The following is a 16,876-nucleotide window of genomic DNA, read 5'->3' on the forward strand; positions in this document are numbered from 1 at the left end:
GCAATGTCATCACCAGCCAGATCAAGATCTAGAAAATTATTATCACCCCAGAAAGTTCCCTGAACTTCATATAAATGGATTCCAGTAGTATTCAATCTTTTGATATTTCATCCATGTTGTTATATATGTAAGTAATTTGTTCTATTTGGTGGGGTATGCAATATTTTATTATATGAAAGACTACAATTGATTCACCTGTTCTTATATAATTGTACATTGGCTATTATGAATAAAGTTGTTCTGAGTATTCATGTACAAGTCATGTTTTTTGGCACATGCAATCATTTCTCTTATATATACCTAGGAGTGGAATTGTTGGAACAAAAAGTAAGTATATATTTGTTTTATTGCCAAACAGCTTTCCAAAGTGGGAGAAGTCTACTTTAAATGGCAATGAATGAGTTCCAACTGCTTCACCTATTTGCCAACATTGGTATTGCCTTTAAAATTTTAAACATTCTAGTGGTTGTATTCTTTCTTTTTTGTCCTTGGTCCATACCATGACTCTTCCTCCTTGAACTTAGTTCTTTCCAAAATAATTAAGCAGCTTCTTAGCAGGTTTAGCAAGTGGGGTTCTTCTATCAACATTTTCTTGAATTTTGGCAGTGGCTTCCTGAATGGAGTATTACAGAGCTATAATTGATTAATGATGTTTTTCATCAGCTCAAAAGGAAAAATATTGCAAAACATGCAAAATATGTATCATCCTGAATTTAAAGTATACCACTACCAAATTCCAAGGAGCTGTGATGTGATCTATTATTTTTCTCTTAGTATGTGAAAGCAAATCATCAGTTTTGAATCCACGAGACCCTGTTGAATTAGTTAATGTACATCTATTGGACCTATTCTATGTTGTAGGAATTGCACCATTAATACATGAGTGAAGAATGACCCTTTCCATTGTCGGCACACTTACTAAAGAACATACTGCAAAGCAGTCGCTCATCATCCCTTGAGACTGCAGATTAACTCTTCCCATTTTTTTTTTATCAGAGCAAATTTTCTCCATTGAACATAATACTTACTATGCTCTTAGTCTGAAGCTAGATCATTGTATTCAAAATTTTATTTTATTCACATAAAACTGATGAAACTAATGCAGTCTTAATAAGCTTTCAAAAGTTTAATTTTATATATTAAATAATCATGGATTTTCCCTCAAATTCCGGTTGATATTTCCAACATGCATCTATTGTAATTAATACTTTTAAGTGTAATGTTATGCAGAAAAGAGGTATAGTCTACAGACCTTCAGTATTCCCAAGGGATAGAACCCAGGACCTTTCACAAATACAGACATTTGTGATTTGGAAATATATAATTATTTGGGTTCGTTGTTAAATATAAAATCTTTGGGTTTGTTTCTAAAATATACTTCTTGGGGCTTCTTGCTCATATTTTTAAAATATAAGTAAGCCACATTTTGACTTTGATGATGAAATTTCTCTCAGGGGGTGGGTTACATCATGGCACAAAATTAGTATTTTTCCACAAAATTCATTTTGTAGGAATAAAGAGTGAAGAAAAGCAAATTCTTCATGGTTGACTGGGTTCCTTTAATGCTCATTCAATGTACCCACCAAAAATCTTCAAATGCATGCTTCAGGAAAATTTAAATTATTACATTTCCAAAAATATTTTTTGAATAAAATGATGAAAGGTATCCCAAAGCTTCTCCCAGACTCAGACACACAGGGCCTGAGACACACAAACAGATGACCTTATCCTGACCTCTTCCTTCCTGTAGCTGATTCATGACCTTGGCAGTGATTCACATCTTCACAGACTAGCACAGTTCATCCCCTGATCACTGAACCCATCTCCATTTATATGAGGTACTGCTATGTTAATTATATAATAAAATTCCTGCTGTATGGGCTTTGGTGCATTTTTCTATGTTGATGTGATCTGAACTAATCCCTCAGAAGACTGAGGCAGTTCCTTACATCCTCTACGTCTTTATTAGGAATTTGGTGTATTACAGCATCTCCACCATTTGTCTTGGCATACTCACCTGAGGAGCTTGATAAAAACACAGATTCCTGTTTTCCTTCATAGACCCATGTAACTGGGCTCTCCTAAGAGGGAAGTTGAGCATCTGTAGCTCTAACAAGCATTCTAGATAATGGTTATGATGCACTAAATTTTGGAACTATCCTTATAGTGGAAAGACTGTGTTTTCTCCCACCGGTTTTATTTATATACAGTACATTTGAGTCATGGCTGTACCGTGTAAAACAAAATTTATCTACATATTTCTATTTATCTCTTCATCGATCAGTGTGTCCCTCCATCCCTCTATCCCTCTATTCCTCCATCATGCATTGCTTTTCTGTTTAGTGTTTTAATGATTTAGCCACTGCTTTACTGAGCAACTAAATCAGCCTTGACAATGGATTTGTGTGACTTTGGGGAAGTTAGCCTTTTTAAGCTACAGTTTCCTCATTTGTGAAATGAATATAATGAGAATATTTACCTTCCAGTTTATCATGGTAGTGAAATAAGAAAGCACGGGTAAATGCTTAATACAGTGTCTTGATCAAGATAAGGTGTCAATAAATGTTAATTCCTTTCACCTTTTTCATTAAAGGACTATAACGCTTTTCAGAAGCACTTCATATAGCGATATATCTACTATTTAGGTTATCAAATATAAGCATTTAATGTTGTAAATTTTCTTCTAAGCATTGGTTACCTGCATCCCACAGAATCTGAGATGTTGTATTTTATTTTTGTCCACTTCAAAATATTTTCAAATTTCCTTTGCGATCTTCTCTTTGACCAATTGATTATTTAGAAGTGTTGTTTTATTTCTATATATTTGAAGATTTCCCTTTTATTTTTCTGTTATTGATATCTGGTTTAAATATTTTAAAGTCAGATAACATACTTTATATGATTAAAGTTTTTAAAAATTTGTTAAGGTTTGTTCTATGATCCACTATGTCATCTACCTTGGTAAATGTTACATATGCACTTAAAAGAATATATATCCTGCTATTGTTGGCTGGAGTGTTCTATAAACATCAAATACATCCAGCTTGTTAGTGGCATTTTTCTTATCTTCTATATCGTTGTGATTTTCTGCCTTTTAGTTCTATCAATTAGTGAAAGAGGAGTTTTGAAGTTTCCAACATTAACCATGGGTTTTTCCATTTATTTTAGCTTTTTCTTTCAATTTTAAAAGCTCTCTTTTCTACAGATACGTTTAGGATTTTGATGTCTTCTTGGTAAATTTAACCTTTTAAAAATATGTAATGTCTTTCTTTATTTCTGGTAATTTTCTTTGCTCTGAAGTTTAATTTGTCTTATATTAATATTGCCACTGCAGTTTTCTTTTGGTTAGTGTGTGTAAGACACACCAAAACCCATCCTTTACCTTTTAATCTATGTAGTTTGCTGTATTTCAAGTGAGTTTCTTATAGAGAATATATAGTCATTCTGACAATCTATCTTTTAAATGGTGTGTAGGATCATTTGTATTTAATGTAATTATTATGTTTTGATTAATGTCTACTGTCTTAATATTTATTTTTTGTTTGTTCCCTCTCTTTTTTGTTGCATTGTTTTCTTTTCCTATCTTCCTTTGAATGGTTTTAAGTACTCCACTGAAGTATTTTCAGTACTCCATTTAAAAAAAATCTGTATTGTACTCTATTTCTTTGTATAATTTTTAGTATTTGTTATAGGGATTACAATATACATATTTAGCTTTTCCAAGTCTACTTAGAATCAATTTTTACCATGTCAAATATAATGTAGAAATTTTGACAAACATATAGATCCCTATACCCTCTCCATTTTATGTTTTAGTTGTCTTATATATTACACTTACATACATCAAAAACTTTATCAGATAATGTCAGTTTTTACTCTCATAATTCAAACATTTTAAGGAATCTTAGAAGAAAAGTATAGTCAGTCATATTTACCTAGGTACTTACTATTTCTGTTCCTCTTCCTTCATTACTGATGTTCTTGTGTAATTTCTTCTGTCTAAAGAAATTCCTTTTGTAAATATTTTAGAACAAATTTGCTGGCAATGAATTTTTATAGTTTTTCTTAGCTGAGACTGTCTTAGAATGTATTTATTTCACTTTCATTTCTGAAAAACATTGTTGGTGGATATAGAATTCTGGGTCAATAATTCTGTTCTTTAAATACTTCAAAAATATTATCTCAATTCCTCTGGAATAAATGGTGTCTTACAAGAAAGCACAATTTTTCTTTCTTTTTTTTGGTTAGTGTTTTTATTTTATTATACTTTAAGTTCTAGGGTATATGTGCACAATGTGCAGGTTTGTTACATATGTATACATGTGCCATGTTGGTGTGCTGCACCCACTAACTCGTCATTTACATTAGGTATTTCTCCTAATGTTATCTCTCGCCCCTCCCCCTACCCCATGACAGGCCCCAGTGTGATGTTCCCCTGCCTGTGTCTAAATGTTCTCATTGTTCAATTCCTACCTGTGAGTGAGAACATGTGGTGTTTGGTTTTCTGTCCTTGCGATAGTTTGCTCAGAATGATGGTTTCCAGTTTCATCCGTGTCCCTACAAAGGACATGAACTCATCCTTTGTTATGGCTGCATAGTATTCCATAGTGTATATATGTGCCACATTTTCTTAATCCAGTCTATCATCGATGGACATTTGGGTTGGTTCCAAGTCTTTGCTATTGTGAATAGAAGAAAGCACAGTTTTTCAAACTTTGTTATAAGTAATATATCATTTTTCTTTGGCTGTTTTGAAGTTTTTTGTTTACATTGATTTGATTATGATATGTCTGGGCATTATTTGTGTGTGTGTGTGTGTGTGTGTATGTGCATGTGCACACAGGGTTTATCCTGTTTGAAGTGAAGTCAGCTTCTGGAGTCTTTGAATTTATGTCTTTTGACAAATTGGAGAAATTTTCTGTTATTATTTCTTTAAGTGATTTTCTGCATTGTCTTCTTTCTCCTCTCTTTCTGAAACTCCAATGACACAAAAGTCGACCTTTTGGTATTTTCCAACACCTTCCTGGGAAGCTTTTTTTGCTTTTTCCTCTGTGCCATTTATACTGGATAATTTCCATTAATTTATCTTGAGGTTCACTAATTCTTTATTCCATCATCTCCATTCTGGTATTGATCCTATTTAAACCTACTCAGTGTTTTAAATTTTGATTACTGTATTTTTAAGTTCTAATATTTCCTTTGGTTCTTCTTTATATCTAGTGTTTCTTTGCTGAGACTTTTAAAATATTTCCATTCATTTCATTACTTCTTGACCATTTTTTTATAATAGCTTTGTAAAGTCTTTGTCAAATAATACCAACATCTGTGTCCTTCCACTTTGGAGTCTGTTGATTATCTTTTGCCATATGAGTGAGATTCTCCTGATTGTTTTTATGATGCATAATTTTTAATTGTGTCTTGCCTTCTTTGAATATTACATTATGATACCCTGAACTTTATTCAAATCCTATAGAGAATGTTACTTTTTGTTTTTGCAGGCAATCAACCTTATTTGATTTAGGCTGCAAGTTATTACCAGTCTCCTGTGGATTGTAGTTTTAATACCCACTCAGTTTTTAAAGCTTTAAGTTCAAATTTGTCCCATGTGTGCCACACACATACAGTTCTGGGGTGAGCCCAAGAATTCAGCACCAACTTCATGGTCATATTTCTGAGGTGCTCTCTCTCCACTCTGTTCCTGGTAACTTCTGCTTCCCTGGAGCTCCCTTTTTCAGTCTTCCAGCCAAAAGTCTTGAATTTTAGTTTCACCATTTTGATATGCATGTCCCATGACTGCATCCATATGCAAAACCAGGCAGTAAGTGGTTAGAAAGAGAAGGAGCAATGAGTTTGCATGACTGTCTTGGAACCAAAACTCCTCGGATCACAGAGGAAGGCTCCTCCTCTTATAAAGACTATGGCATCCAGTGCTACTTCTGTTGCTGCCACCATTGCCACAAAAGGAAACTTGAGAAAAAAACAGTGTTTTTCCTCACACTGTCTATGTGTTAGTAGTTATTTCTCTACACCTCAAAGCAGAGGAGTTCCAGAGGGCTTCTCCTGGAGATGTCCGTTTGTGTCTAGGACACACTTTCGAGTTTTGGTTTATATTGAGATCAGGTTGTGGAATACTGGTGAAAAAAAAAATGTGAAACTCACTGCTGATCTAGGTTTTAGAGCTGCATTTATTGTGAGAGACAGGGTGCAGTGCACATATTTCACCTTACCTTGAAGAAATGCCAGTTTAATTCTGTGTTACCTCTTCTTTCTCCCTCTGAGCATTGGAGAGGTAGCCCATTAATTAATTGGTTCTTGGACAGCTTCCCCATGCCCCTAATTGTGAGATGCTCTGTGGTGCTAGCCTTAGTGACAGGTGGCAGTGGCAGCAGCTCATTCCTTTAGTTTTAGTCTTTCTGAAAGTCTTTGTTTAAATGAGTAACATGTATACATTATATAATATTGGGTTATATTCTGTGAGCCATATTGTAAATATTTTTTAATTAATTGATTAAATGCCATTGTAATTTGTTAATATGATGCTACTACAGCATATAACACATAATATACAGCATAGAACATTATAATTTTACTTTTATCCTTGTTTCTATTTTAATTTTAGATCTATTACTATACATATTAAATGATCACCATTGGTCTTTTTGTTAAACGGTTCCCAGTGATCTCTTGTTTAGAGGAAGCTCATACTCTAGAAAATTGTTCATGAAGGGCTTGTGGTTATAGAATTTCCTAATTCTTTGCATATTTAAAACTACTTATCTATAGCCTTGATACTTAGAATACACCTTGACTGGATATAAAATTATTGCTTCATACTTTTTTCCTTGAGTTTTTTAAAATGCATCTTTACTGCTGCCTTGCATATGTGTTCTTTTTATGAAGAGGAGGCTTTGAGGATTTATTCTATTTAAGATCTAATGGTCTACTGGGACATATCTATGGATTGACTTTTGTGGGCCAATTTTCCCGGGTACCTGGTGAGTCCTTTTAATATTTTGGTAATTTTTTCTTTTATTTTTATAATATGCTTTTGGATTATAGTTTCACATGTTACTTCTTTTTTATGGCTTTGTTTTTTGTCTTTTGAGATTCAAATTATACATAAGCTGGATCCTCTTTCTTTGTCTTCCACTTCAAACACTTTCTACATGAACATCTTTACTTCTCTCTCTATTCTATGTTCATGTCTTGGTTATGTTTCTGTTTTGTTCCTATGCCCTTTATTAAATTTTCATTGGAATTCATTCTTTCTTGGGAACATTGTAATTTCTTCTTTATTTAATACGATTTTGGATTTTTCTTCTATATCTTTCAGAAGTTTAATCAAATATAATTTTCTTTTGTGCTGCTTTTTGTATATCTATTTTCTTGGTTTTTAGATTTCTGATTCAAGGTGGGATTTTTTTTATATATTCCCAAATGCTTATGGGAGAGTACTTAATTAAATCTGAAGTGTTGTGTCATAGTTTTCTTCTGCCTTGTTATTGTTTCTGTGTGTGTGTGAGGGAAACTGTTTACCAATAGAGAAGTTTTGATTTTAATTTCTATTATATTTGATTTTCAGTTTGATTTTTTATTTTTATATTAGTTTTGTAATAAATGAATATTTCTTGTACCTATGCCTGCATTTTGAGTTCAGATCTGTTAGTATAGAGTGGTCTATAAGATTGCTAGTTCACAATCACCCTCTTGCCAGAAGAGCAATGTACAGTTTACTTATCTAATGGCTTCTGTAGTGAAAATGGGGGATGGTCTTATGTCCTTGGATATTTGGCATTATTTCGTTTTGAAAGAACCTAAATATGTTTCTTGCCTCTTTTTCTCTTTACTGCACAGTTTTCAAAGGGTTGCTATTGCTTTCATTTTACTCTTTTCTCTTCTGAAGGATTGCCTTTGCAAGACTGCTTCCTTGAGTCTCTTAAGCCTCTTTCCCTGTAATTTGTACTCATCCATCATGATTCTTTTTCAATCTGAACAACTTAGGGTGCACTTTCTCTTCTGTCAGTGATTTTATATCAACCTTGGTCTTTCTGCTATCTCCTCTCTTATTTCTTCTGGACTGCCCTTGATCTCCAGTAAGAATTATAGTGCAAATGTTACAGCTAGTCATTTATCCTCTAATTAACCTATAGATTTAATGCAGTAGCAATAAAAGTCTCAGCACACTTCTTTAAAGTTGGAAATGCAAAGTAACTAAAATTTCCAAAATAAGCTTGACAAATAATTTCAAAATTAGAGGATTCATTTACCTTATTTGTTTTCAAGACCTAATGTAAAGCTATGAAATAAGATAGAATGCTAATAAATTAAATATACAAAGATAGATCAATGGTACAAGAATAGAGAATATAGAAATAGAACAATATAGATACTTGTAATGATTTTTGGCAAGGTACCAAGGCATTTCAATGTGGCAAGGAACGTCTTTACAATAATCAGTATTGGAGCAATTAGATAAATGTAGAGGGCAAAAATGAACCTTGAAACATAGCTCACACAAAAGTCCATTCGAGATGGATCATAAACCTATATGTAAAGTCTAAAATTATAAAGCTCCTGAAAGAAAACAAGAAAATAAGTCAATGGTTTTGAGGAGGCAAATATATTTTTTAAAGGACAAAAACTGTAGTAAACATTTAAAATTTTGATAAATTGGACTTTATGAAAATAAAAAATTTCTGCTCAGCAAAATGCAGAATTAAGAAGATGAACACAGACCAGCTGTGGTGGCTCATACCTGTAATCCCAACACTTTGAGAGGCCAAGGCAGGAGGATCTCTTGGGGCCAGAATTCAAGACCAGCCTGGGCAACACAGCAAGACCCCATCTCTAAAATTTTTTTTTAATTAGCCAGGCATGTTGGCTCATGTCTACTAGTAGCCAAGTAGTCCTAGCTATTTGAGAGGCTGAGATATGAAGATTGCTTGGGCCTGAGATGTCAAGGCTACAGTGAGCCATGATTGTGCCACTGCACCCCAGCCTGGGTGACAGTGAGACCCTGTATCAGAAAAGAAAAAAGAAGATGAATAGGCAAGTCACATCTGAGAGAAAATATTTACAATACATATTTCTGAAAGTAGTCTTAAATGGAGACTATATAAAGAACTCTTAGAAATTAACAATAAAACACAAACACCTCAATTAAAAGGGCAAAAAATTGGACACCCACCAAAGAAGATACAGGAATAGCAAATGAGCAGAGGAAAATTTGCTCAACATCATTTGTTATCAGAAATGCAAAGGAAAACCATAAGGAAATACTCCTTTGCATCCATGAAATGGCTAAAATAAAAAAGACTGATATGCAAAATGCGGTAAGATTATGGAGCAACAGGCAGTTTCATACATTGCTGTGGGGAGTGTGAAGTGGTACAGTCACTTTGGAAAGTTGTTTGGCTATTCTTATAAAGTTAAACATACATCTACATGAGAAGCAGCAATCCCACTCCTAAGTATTTACCAAAGATAAGTGAAAACATATGTCCACAATAGACATTTACATGAATGTTTATGTAAGATTTGTCCATAATAGCCCCTAACTGGAAACAATGCAAATGTGTCTCAGTAGAAAAATGGATAAACAATTTGTGGTTTATTCTTACAGTGGAATACTATTGAGCAATAAAGAGGAATGAGCGGCCGGGCGCGGTGGCTCACGCCTGTAATCCCAGCACTTTGGGAGGCCGAGGCGGGCGGATCACGAGGTCAGGAGATCGAGACCATCCTGGCTAACACGGTGAAACCCCGTCTCTACTAAAAATACAAAAAATTAGCCGGGCGTGGTAGCGGGCGCCTGTAGTCCCAGCTACTCGGGAGGCTGAGGCAGGAGAATGGCGTGAACCCGGGAGGCGGAGCTTGCAGTGAGCCGAGATCGCGCCACTGCACTCCAGCCTGGGCGACAGAGCGAGACTCCGTCTCACAAAAAAAAAAAAAAAAAAAAAAAAAAAAGAGGAATGAGCTACTGATATATGCAAGGCATAGAAACCTCACGTACTGCGGACTGAAAGAGGCTTGTGCTTACACAAGACATATAATGTACAATTCCATTAAGGCCAATTAAGGTCAAACATAGGCAAAACTAACCCAGCAGGATAGACACTGAGAGCTAGGGCTGCCTGTGGGAAGTGAGGAGCCCTGGCAAGGACATGAGGAAACCTTCTGAGGTAGTGGGAATGTGCGACATCTTGTTTGTGGTGATGGATACAAAAGTTGACACATTCATCAAAGCTCGCCACATCATTCACTTGATATCTGCATATTTCACTCAAAGTAAGTTTTATTTATTTATTTATATTTATTCATTTATTTATTTTTAAGATACAGGGTCTCCCTCTGTCACCCAGGCTGGAGTGCAGTGACATGATCTCCACCTCTTGGGCTCAAGCAATCTTCATGCCTCAGCAAATATCTGAGATCACAAGTGCGCACCACCACGCCAGGCTAATTTTTGTATATTTTGTAGAGACAGGGTTTTGTCATGTTGCCTGGGATGGTCTCGAACTCCTGAGCTCAGGCAGTCTGCCTGCCTCCACCTCTCAAAGTGCTGGGATTAGAGGCATGAGCCACTGCGCCTCAGCTGTAAATTTTATATCATTAAAAAGGCAAAGAAAAAAAGACATCTCTAGTGAGTCCATATGCCAAAGAACTTTAATGACACAAATAAAGACAGCACCAACACTTACAGCTATGTGACCTCATGCAAGTTACGTAACTGCTCTGAGCCTCAGATTCTTCTGTAAATTCAGGATCTGTATCTCATGGGGTTAAGAGAATTACCTATGACAAGGAATGTAAGGTATTTCCTAGAGGATTGTATGCTTAATGAGTAATCAGTATGTGTTCAATAAAATATTCTGTCTTATGGAGACTTCTACTTTGTCAAATTGTTAAGTATAACACTGTTTGTTCAAAATACTTTCTCTTTGTCTCTATTTCTGGTTCTGTATGTGTTTCTTCTCATCAAATGAGGTGTGAATTCAAGTGAACTCAAGTCCTTCACCAGTTTCACAGAGTTCTCACGCTAAACATTTTGTGAGTCTGGTAATACTACTCATGTCTTCTACTCCTCTTTCTTTTCCTTCTCCTCCATCTCTGAAGGAACCAGAAAATTTCTCCTTTCTGTAGTGTACACAGCAATTCTATCCACACCAAGATCCTTGGAATATCACCTTCTATTATCAAGTGTGTGTATGTGTGTGTGTGTTTTCTTTCTAATGGGAGGATGATACTCTCTCTTACTGTAATAGTGTTTTCTGAGCATGTGACACTGATCTGCTTATTTTCTATGATATCTACATTCCCATGCATTATGCTGTCTTCCTAATGCAGAGACCATGGACTGATATGCCCAGGCCCCTGCTGCTCCAGCAAGCAACTGCAAACAGCTCTAGAAATGCTGTAACCCTGCTGTCCTGACTGGCCCCCAGTGAATGAGCAGGATGAGTTGGTGATGGCTCCAAACTTTGCCATTGAGTGTTCAGATCTGCACTTTAGGGAGTTTGAATAGACACAACAGCATCTGTTGGCAGCATCTCAAAGCACCTATAAGACAGTTGGGGAAGAACATCTGGAAGACAGTTAAGGAACAGCAAGTGAGAAGCAGAGAGAAGCGAATAGGTGGAAGCCACAGTTGGCAGAAGCCCTAAGGTGAGTAGCAATCAGTCCATGTGTGCTGGCCAGCAAGTAGCTGAGAGCCAGAAAGGGAGAGCACGCAGCAGCAATGATTGACAGCTGCTAAAGAGATCACTGGATATCCAGGTTACTGGGACTGGGTGAATGTTTCATGATATTCTACTTCTCTAGAAGGCCTGATTTCCAAATGCAGGTGCATCTATTTCTCTGTGAACCCCAGTTCTAAATGTGTTGCCTTTATTTATGTTCTAGCTTACCTATCTCATGTCTGTTCAACTGAAGTGTCATTGAAGTTTCTCTTTATTCTTTGTAACAAGAAAAGACTCAATTAAGGCAAGAATAGAAGAGCTGCTGAGATTTAGAAATTCATATAAGTCTGTCCTAGTAATTCTGGTTTATCTAAAAGGAGAATCCTATCCCTTTTCTCTTTCTCTCACTTTCTCTCTCTCTTTGTTTCTCCTTTTCTAAGCAGTCACTTTCCTCTTAGTTTCATAGGCATTCCCTCCATGGCCAGATATGATCAGAGCAGGCATGTCCCCTTAACCTTGGGCAAAATCTCTTCCGTCATTTTCCGGGTATTTTATTCCACAATAGTTCAGGCTCAAGATGGCCAAGGAGTGAGCGTGAACTCTGACAAAGCACAGAAAACATTCTTCTCCTCATGCCTTCCTCGGAGACGTGATCCACAGGCTCTTGATTCTGTGCCAGGATGGGGCCTCTGCCACCTCCTTGTCTCTGTTAAAATGGGGGGAGAATAAATGTTCTCCACAACCCCCCAACCCCACAATGTGCACCCAGGTGCATGCATGCAGGACCACGGCCTTTTCATTGCACACAAATGAAGTTGTCATCCCATTTCCACCAGTGGGTGCATACTGATGTCCTTTTGGGTCTTTGCTGTTGTGTCTTCTGAAGCCACTCTAGTTCTGCACAGCTCTGCTTAGGCCCAGCTCCTGCTTCCCTTTGACCTTGCTGATATTCTGTGACTTCCAGGCACATTTTCCTGGGACTTGCTGCTGACCTACAACCTCCAGCTTTGCTGATGCCTTTCATTTACCCCAGACTGGTACAGGGCGGTCTTGTCTTTGTGGTAACTGGACTTCACCGGGGAGCAGGGATTCCTTCAGTCAAATAACTTCAGGCCACTCCTTGTACATGGTCACCCAGTTTGACACAATGTTCCATGCTACTGAGACCTCTGAGAAGTGTCCCACCATATTGACTTTCAGCTCTCTAAGTGAGAACTGAGACAAAGGCCCCCTCAGCAGTACCCTCTGGGAAATGTCATTCCCCTGTGTGTGTGGAGTGGGATGCAGGCCTATGCCAAGTAGCTGAAGTCCTTGGGACCCTCTTTTAATAGCAAACATTTGCTGTAGCTCTTCCTGAGGTCTGGGCTTCCTATTTAAATGAGGCTCAGGTGTCTGATTATGACCTCTTTCTGCTCTTTTCTCTGAATGACTGGTATATTCAGTTCCATCAGGACTGTTTATTCGTGATCTTGTCCCAAGAGTCCACACATAGGTCGATTTCACATAAATTTCTAGTAAAACTCTAGTTCAGAGAACATATAAATCCTATGACTTTTCTCATAAAATGTTTCTTTTGGCATAACAAGAAAAAAATAGAAGACCTATAAGGGAAAAATAAGATTAAAATTGATCAAATGTGGCTAGAAAAGTTTCTGTAACATCACAGGAAAATGGCTGCACTTTCCCCTCCCACTCAAATTATTACCTTCCATTTTACTACAGAAGCTAAATTTTTGTTATCACACCACAGGCCATTAAATTGGCATTGGAAGCCAGCCAGCTAGGCAGAAGCTGGAGTCTGGTTGAAATGCCAAGTGAGTTAGCATTCTAACCTTCAGTAGAAGTACAGGAAAATGTGCAATGGAGTGAACTTGAATGCAGGCATGTTTATTTTCACATCTGGCTTGTACAGGATGGAAAGAGATTCCATATAAGGGTCCTTCTCACTGTCTGAGCACTGCCAGCCAAAAGGCTGACCAAACTAACTTGTTGGTCCACAGATGATCTTTAAGCAGGGAGTGGGTAAGGGGTGCTTTGGGAATTCCCTACGCCACTCACTTCTTCAGCTATGAACTATGACTTCACATGGACTCTTCCTACTAATTAACAACAGCCATTTAGCGGACTCCTATTTGCTTTTCAAGTTCCAGTTGAGATGCCCCTTCCTCCAGGAAGCCTTCCTTGATAACCCCAGCCTGAGTTAAAGCCCCTTCCTGTTTGCTGTCTTAGCCTGGTGTATTTTTCTCTTCATATCAGTTATTATAGACCCCTTAAAATTATGCCATTCAGACTAGATTGCAAACAATTTGGGGTTAGAGACCAAATCTGTTTTCTTTATTATGACTTCTCCCATGGCCAAGCCAGCTCTTGGCACACAGTGGGTATATTCTGTTTAGTTCTACAGAGAAAGGGGTGGAATATAATGGCATGTCTGCCATATTAATTTATCATCAGGATCAGAACATGTGCTACTTGGAGGTAACTTTGGAGGGGAGGGAGACATTGGTGTGATGGAGAAAGGAAGTGATTTTATAGACACTTATTTGTGCCAGGGAGCTTGTAAGATTCTTTACACAGGTTGTCTATTTATTCTTTACAGTAAGCTTTAGAGGCCATCCACTCCAACTTTTCAAGGGTGAGAGACTGGAGACTAAGATCCCAGGCAGTGACATGAAATGCTTGATTCCCGCATGTGTGTGTTTCCATGTATCATTGCACCACATGCAGAGCTTTTCTAGCATCTTCATCTTGTGTGTCTTCATATCCTAGTCACCTTGCAAAGCTCAACTTATCCCTGAAAACCCAGTTTAAGCATTTCCTCCACCTTCAATCTCCTTAGGAGAGGCCTTTCTTCACCACCACCAATCCTATCAATTAGAAGTAAGGATCTCCTGTTTGTGCCTCTTTTGAACATGTTATTCTATCAGATACACAAATATGGTTGTGTCAACCCAGGGGCTTTGCACTCAGACTTAAGGAGTTAAAATTGTCTTCTATCACATATTAGCCCTATCAGCTTGGACAAGTTACTTAGCCTCCTTGGCTTTGTTTATTCACCTATTGTATAAGTCAGGGTTCTACTAGAGAAGCAGAGCCAGTAGGAGATATACAGTAAGGAATTTATTGAAAGGAACTGGTTTATACAATTGTGAAGGCTGTCAAAGTCCAAAACCCACTGGGCAGGCTGTCAGGAAAGGCAGGCTGGAACTCTGGGGCACAGGTAAAAACTATTGTACAAGACTGGAATTTCTTCTTTAGAGAAGCCTCAACTCTGCTCTTAAGGCCTTTCAACTGATTGAACCATATCCACCCAGATTATCTGGGATAATCCCCTTTACTTAAAATCAACTGATTATGGACTTTAATTGCATCTATAAGGTACAACCATGGCAACACCCAGATTATTATCTAGATAACTGGAGACTGTAGCCTAGAAAAACTGACATGTTAAAAGTCCATCACACTTATTATGGGTGGGGAGAAGGTGTAAGAATAAAACCTACCTCATAGGGCCATTATAGGGATTAAATGGGTTTATCCATATCATGCATTTAGAATAGTATTTGGCAAGTGACAAGGACCCAATAACTTTTAATACAGTGTTTATCATACTATGCTATAATTATTTTTATATGTCTGCTTTCCCTACTAAGCTTTTAATGCTTTTATTCAGGTATGATGTACCCAACGTTTGTAGAGGCTGACCTTCAGTATGGGTAGTTAAATTCTTTGAATGAATAATTTTCTTTCAATTTTGAAATGGCTCACAAACAACCCAGAAGAATGCCATATGAGGAATTCATTAATGAGGACTACTCCTCTTCATGGACTTTTTTCCTTACCTTAGAGGACTGCAGAGATGAAACATTTTGGGCCATTTTCCAATGAAGGGAAGGGCATGATGGTATCAGCCAACTGAATTCTACAGCTTCCATTTTAATATGAGTTTCTAATGGTGTCACAGATAAGTTACAGTTTGACAGAAGGCCAGGTAGTAGAAGGTCCATCAAACGGTCTAGGGATTTGAAAATGTATTAAGCCTAAGAGAGTAAATCATTTGATTTCTGCAGTTACTGTATAGAGTTTATGAAAGAACATCAGCAAAAAGTATTTTACTTTCTTTTATATTCCAGGAAGAAGTTCATTTTCACCGTATATTACACCATGATGAAGGGATTTTCATTTCACAAAGGTTTGAATAATGACTAAGGTCTAAGCTCACATATCCCCAGGATGAAGAATTAAGTTTAATCCATAGAGTTGCCCAAACCTTGTGGAATGTCATTTCCTGCATCCCCTTGTTCACATCCTGGTGGTAGATTTGTTTTACACAGTGTAACCTAATACAGTAGGAGGCTGAAACTCATCAGTAATCTCTGCTTTTGTGTGGCAAGAATGGTGCAGTATGGAGGCACCAAAAAGTATGGAGGCAGTGCTGGGGATTCACCTTGGTCTTCATTTTTATCTTTCTTGGGATTTTTTTCCAACCATAGAAGTTACTTAGACTTAGCACTTGTGCATAAATATCACCCTTAAGCACAGTTGCAAAGAAAGCTCAGTGGGGTGGCTTTAGAATGATCCCGTTTGGGAAGCTAAGTGTAAGCAGTGTTGAACATTTAAGAAATGAGGATCAAATGCAGGTGCCAGTAAACAGTTTGTGCACCTTATTTGAGTCAAAAGATCAAATAAAAGTATGATGTTAACTTTTCTGGTTTATTATCCAACACTTTGTAGTCAGTTCAGAGAGCATGCATATGTTCTATACCAATTTAGGAATACATTGTCACTAAATGTATGAAAGTAAGTATCGATTGTACTGATACAATTTTATATGGAAGCTCAATTCTTCACAAAATATTTGCATATTATCCATCTATAAATAACCAAATATATAAAGTGTGATATAATTTCTAATTTCTTTTGTCTTAAATTAAATTGTTCTTAACCAAAAAAAATTTTTAAGGTGGCCAAATTTTTATTAACAGTTGTTTGAGAAAGAACATTCATGAGGACCTAAATTTGTTACTAACTATATAAATGAACAGTGGATTATTCACTTATTCACTTACTGGACATTTATCCAGTGCCCACAATGTGCAGGGAATGTGATAAGCATCAGTAACATAAAAAGGAAATAGAAATTCCAATCGAGTTGGCAAGTTATCCAAACAGTGTTGTTGTACTATGTTAGGGAAGAA

The 16,876-nt window shown here is 36.9% G+C and overlaps 1 long non-coding RNA gene across 1 annotated transcript; it reads left to right on the forward strand.

Annotated features, from left to right (window-relative positions):
* The first annotated feature begins 10,102 nt into the window (after nucleotides 1–10,102).
* LOC105375250 (uncharacterized) lies at nucleotides 10,103–16,575 on the forward strand. The gene is made up of 3 exons (XR_001745012.2): nucleotides 10,103–10,287; nucleotides 11,347–11,664; nucleotides 15,812–16,575. It is a non-coding gene; the product is annotated as an uncharacterized LOC105375250 (long non-coding RNA).
* Nucleotides 16,576–16,876: the final 301 nt, after the last annotated feature.

The sequence above is a fragment of the Homo sapiens genome, chromosome 7, assembly GCF_000001405.40.
Source record: "Homo sapiens chromosome 7, GRCh38.p14 Primary Assembly".
NCBI classification, from domain to species: Eukaryota; Metazoa; Chordata; class Mammalia; order Primates; family Hominidae; genus Homo; species Homo sapiens.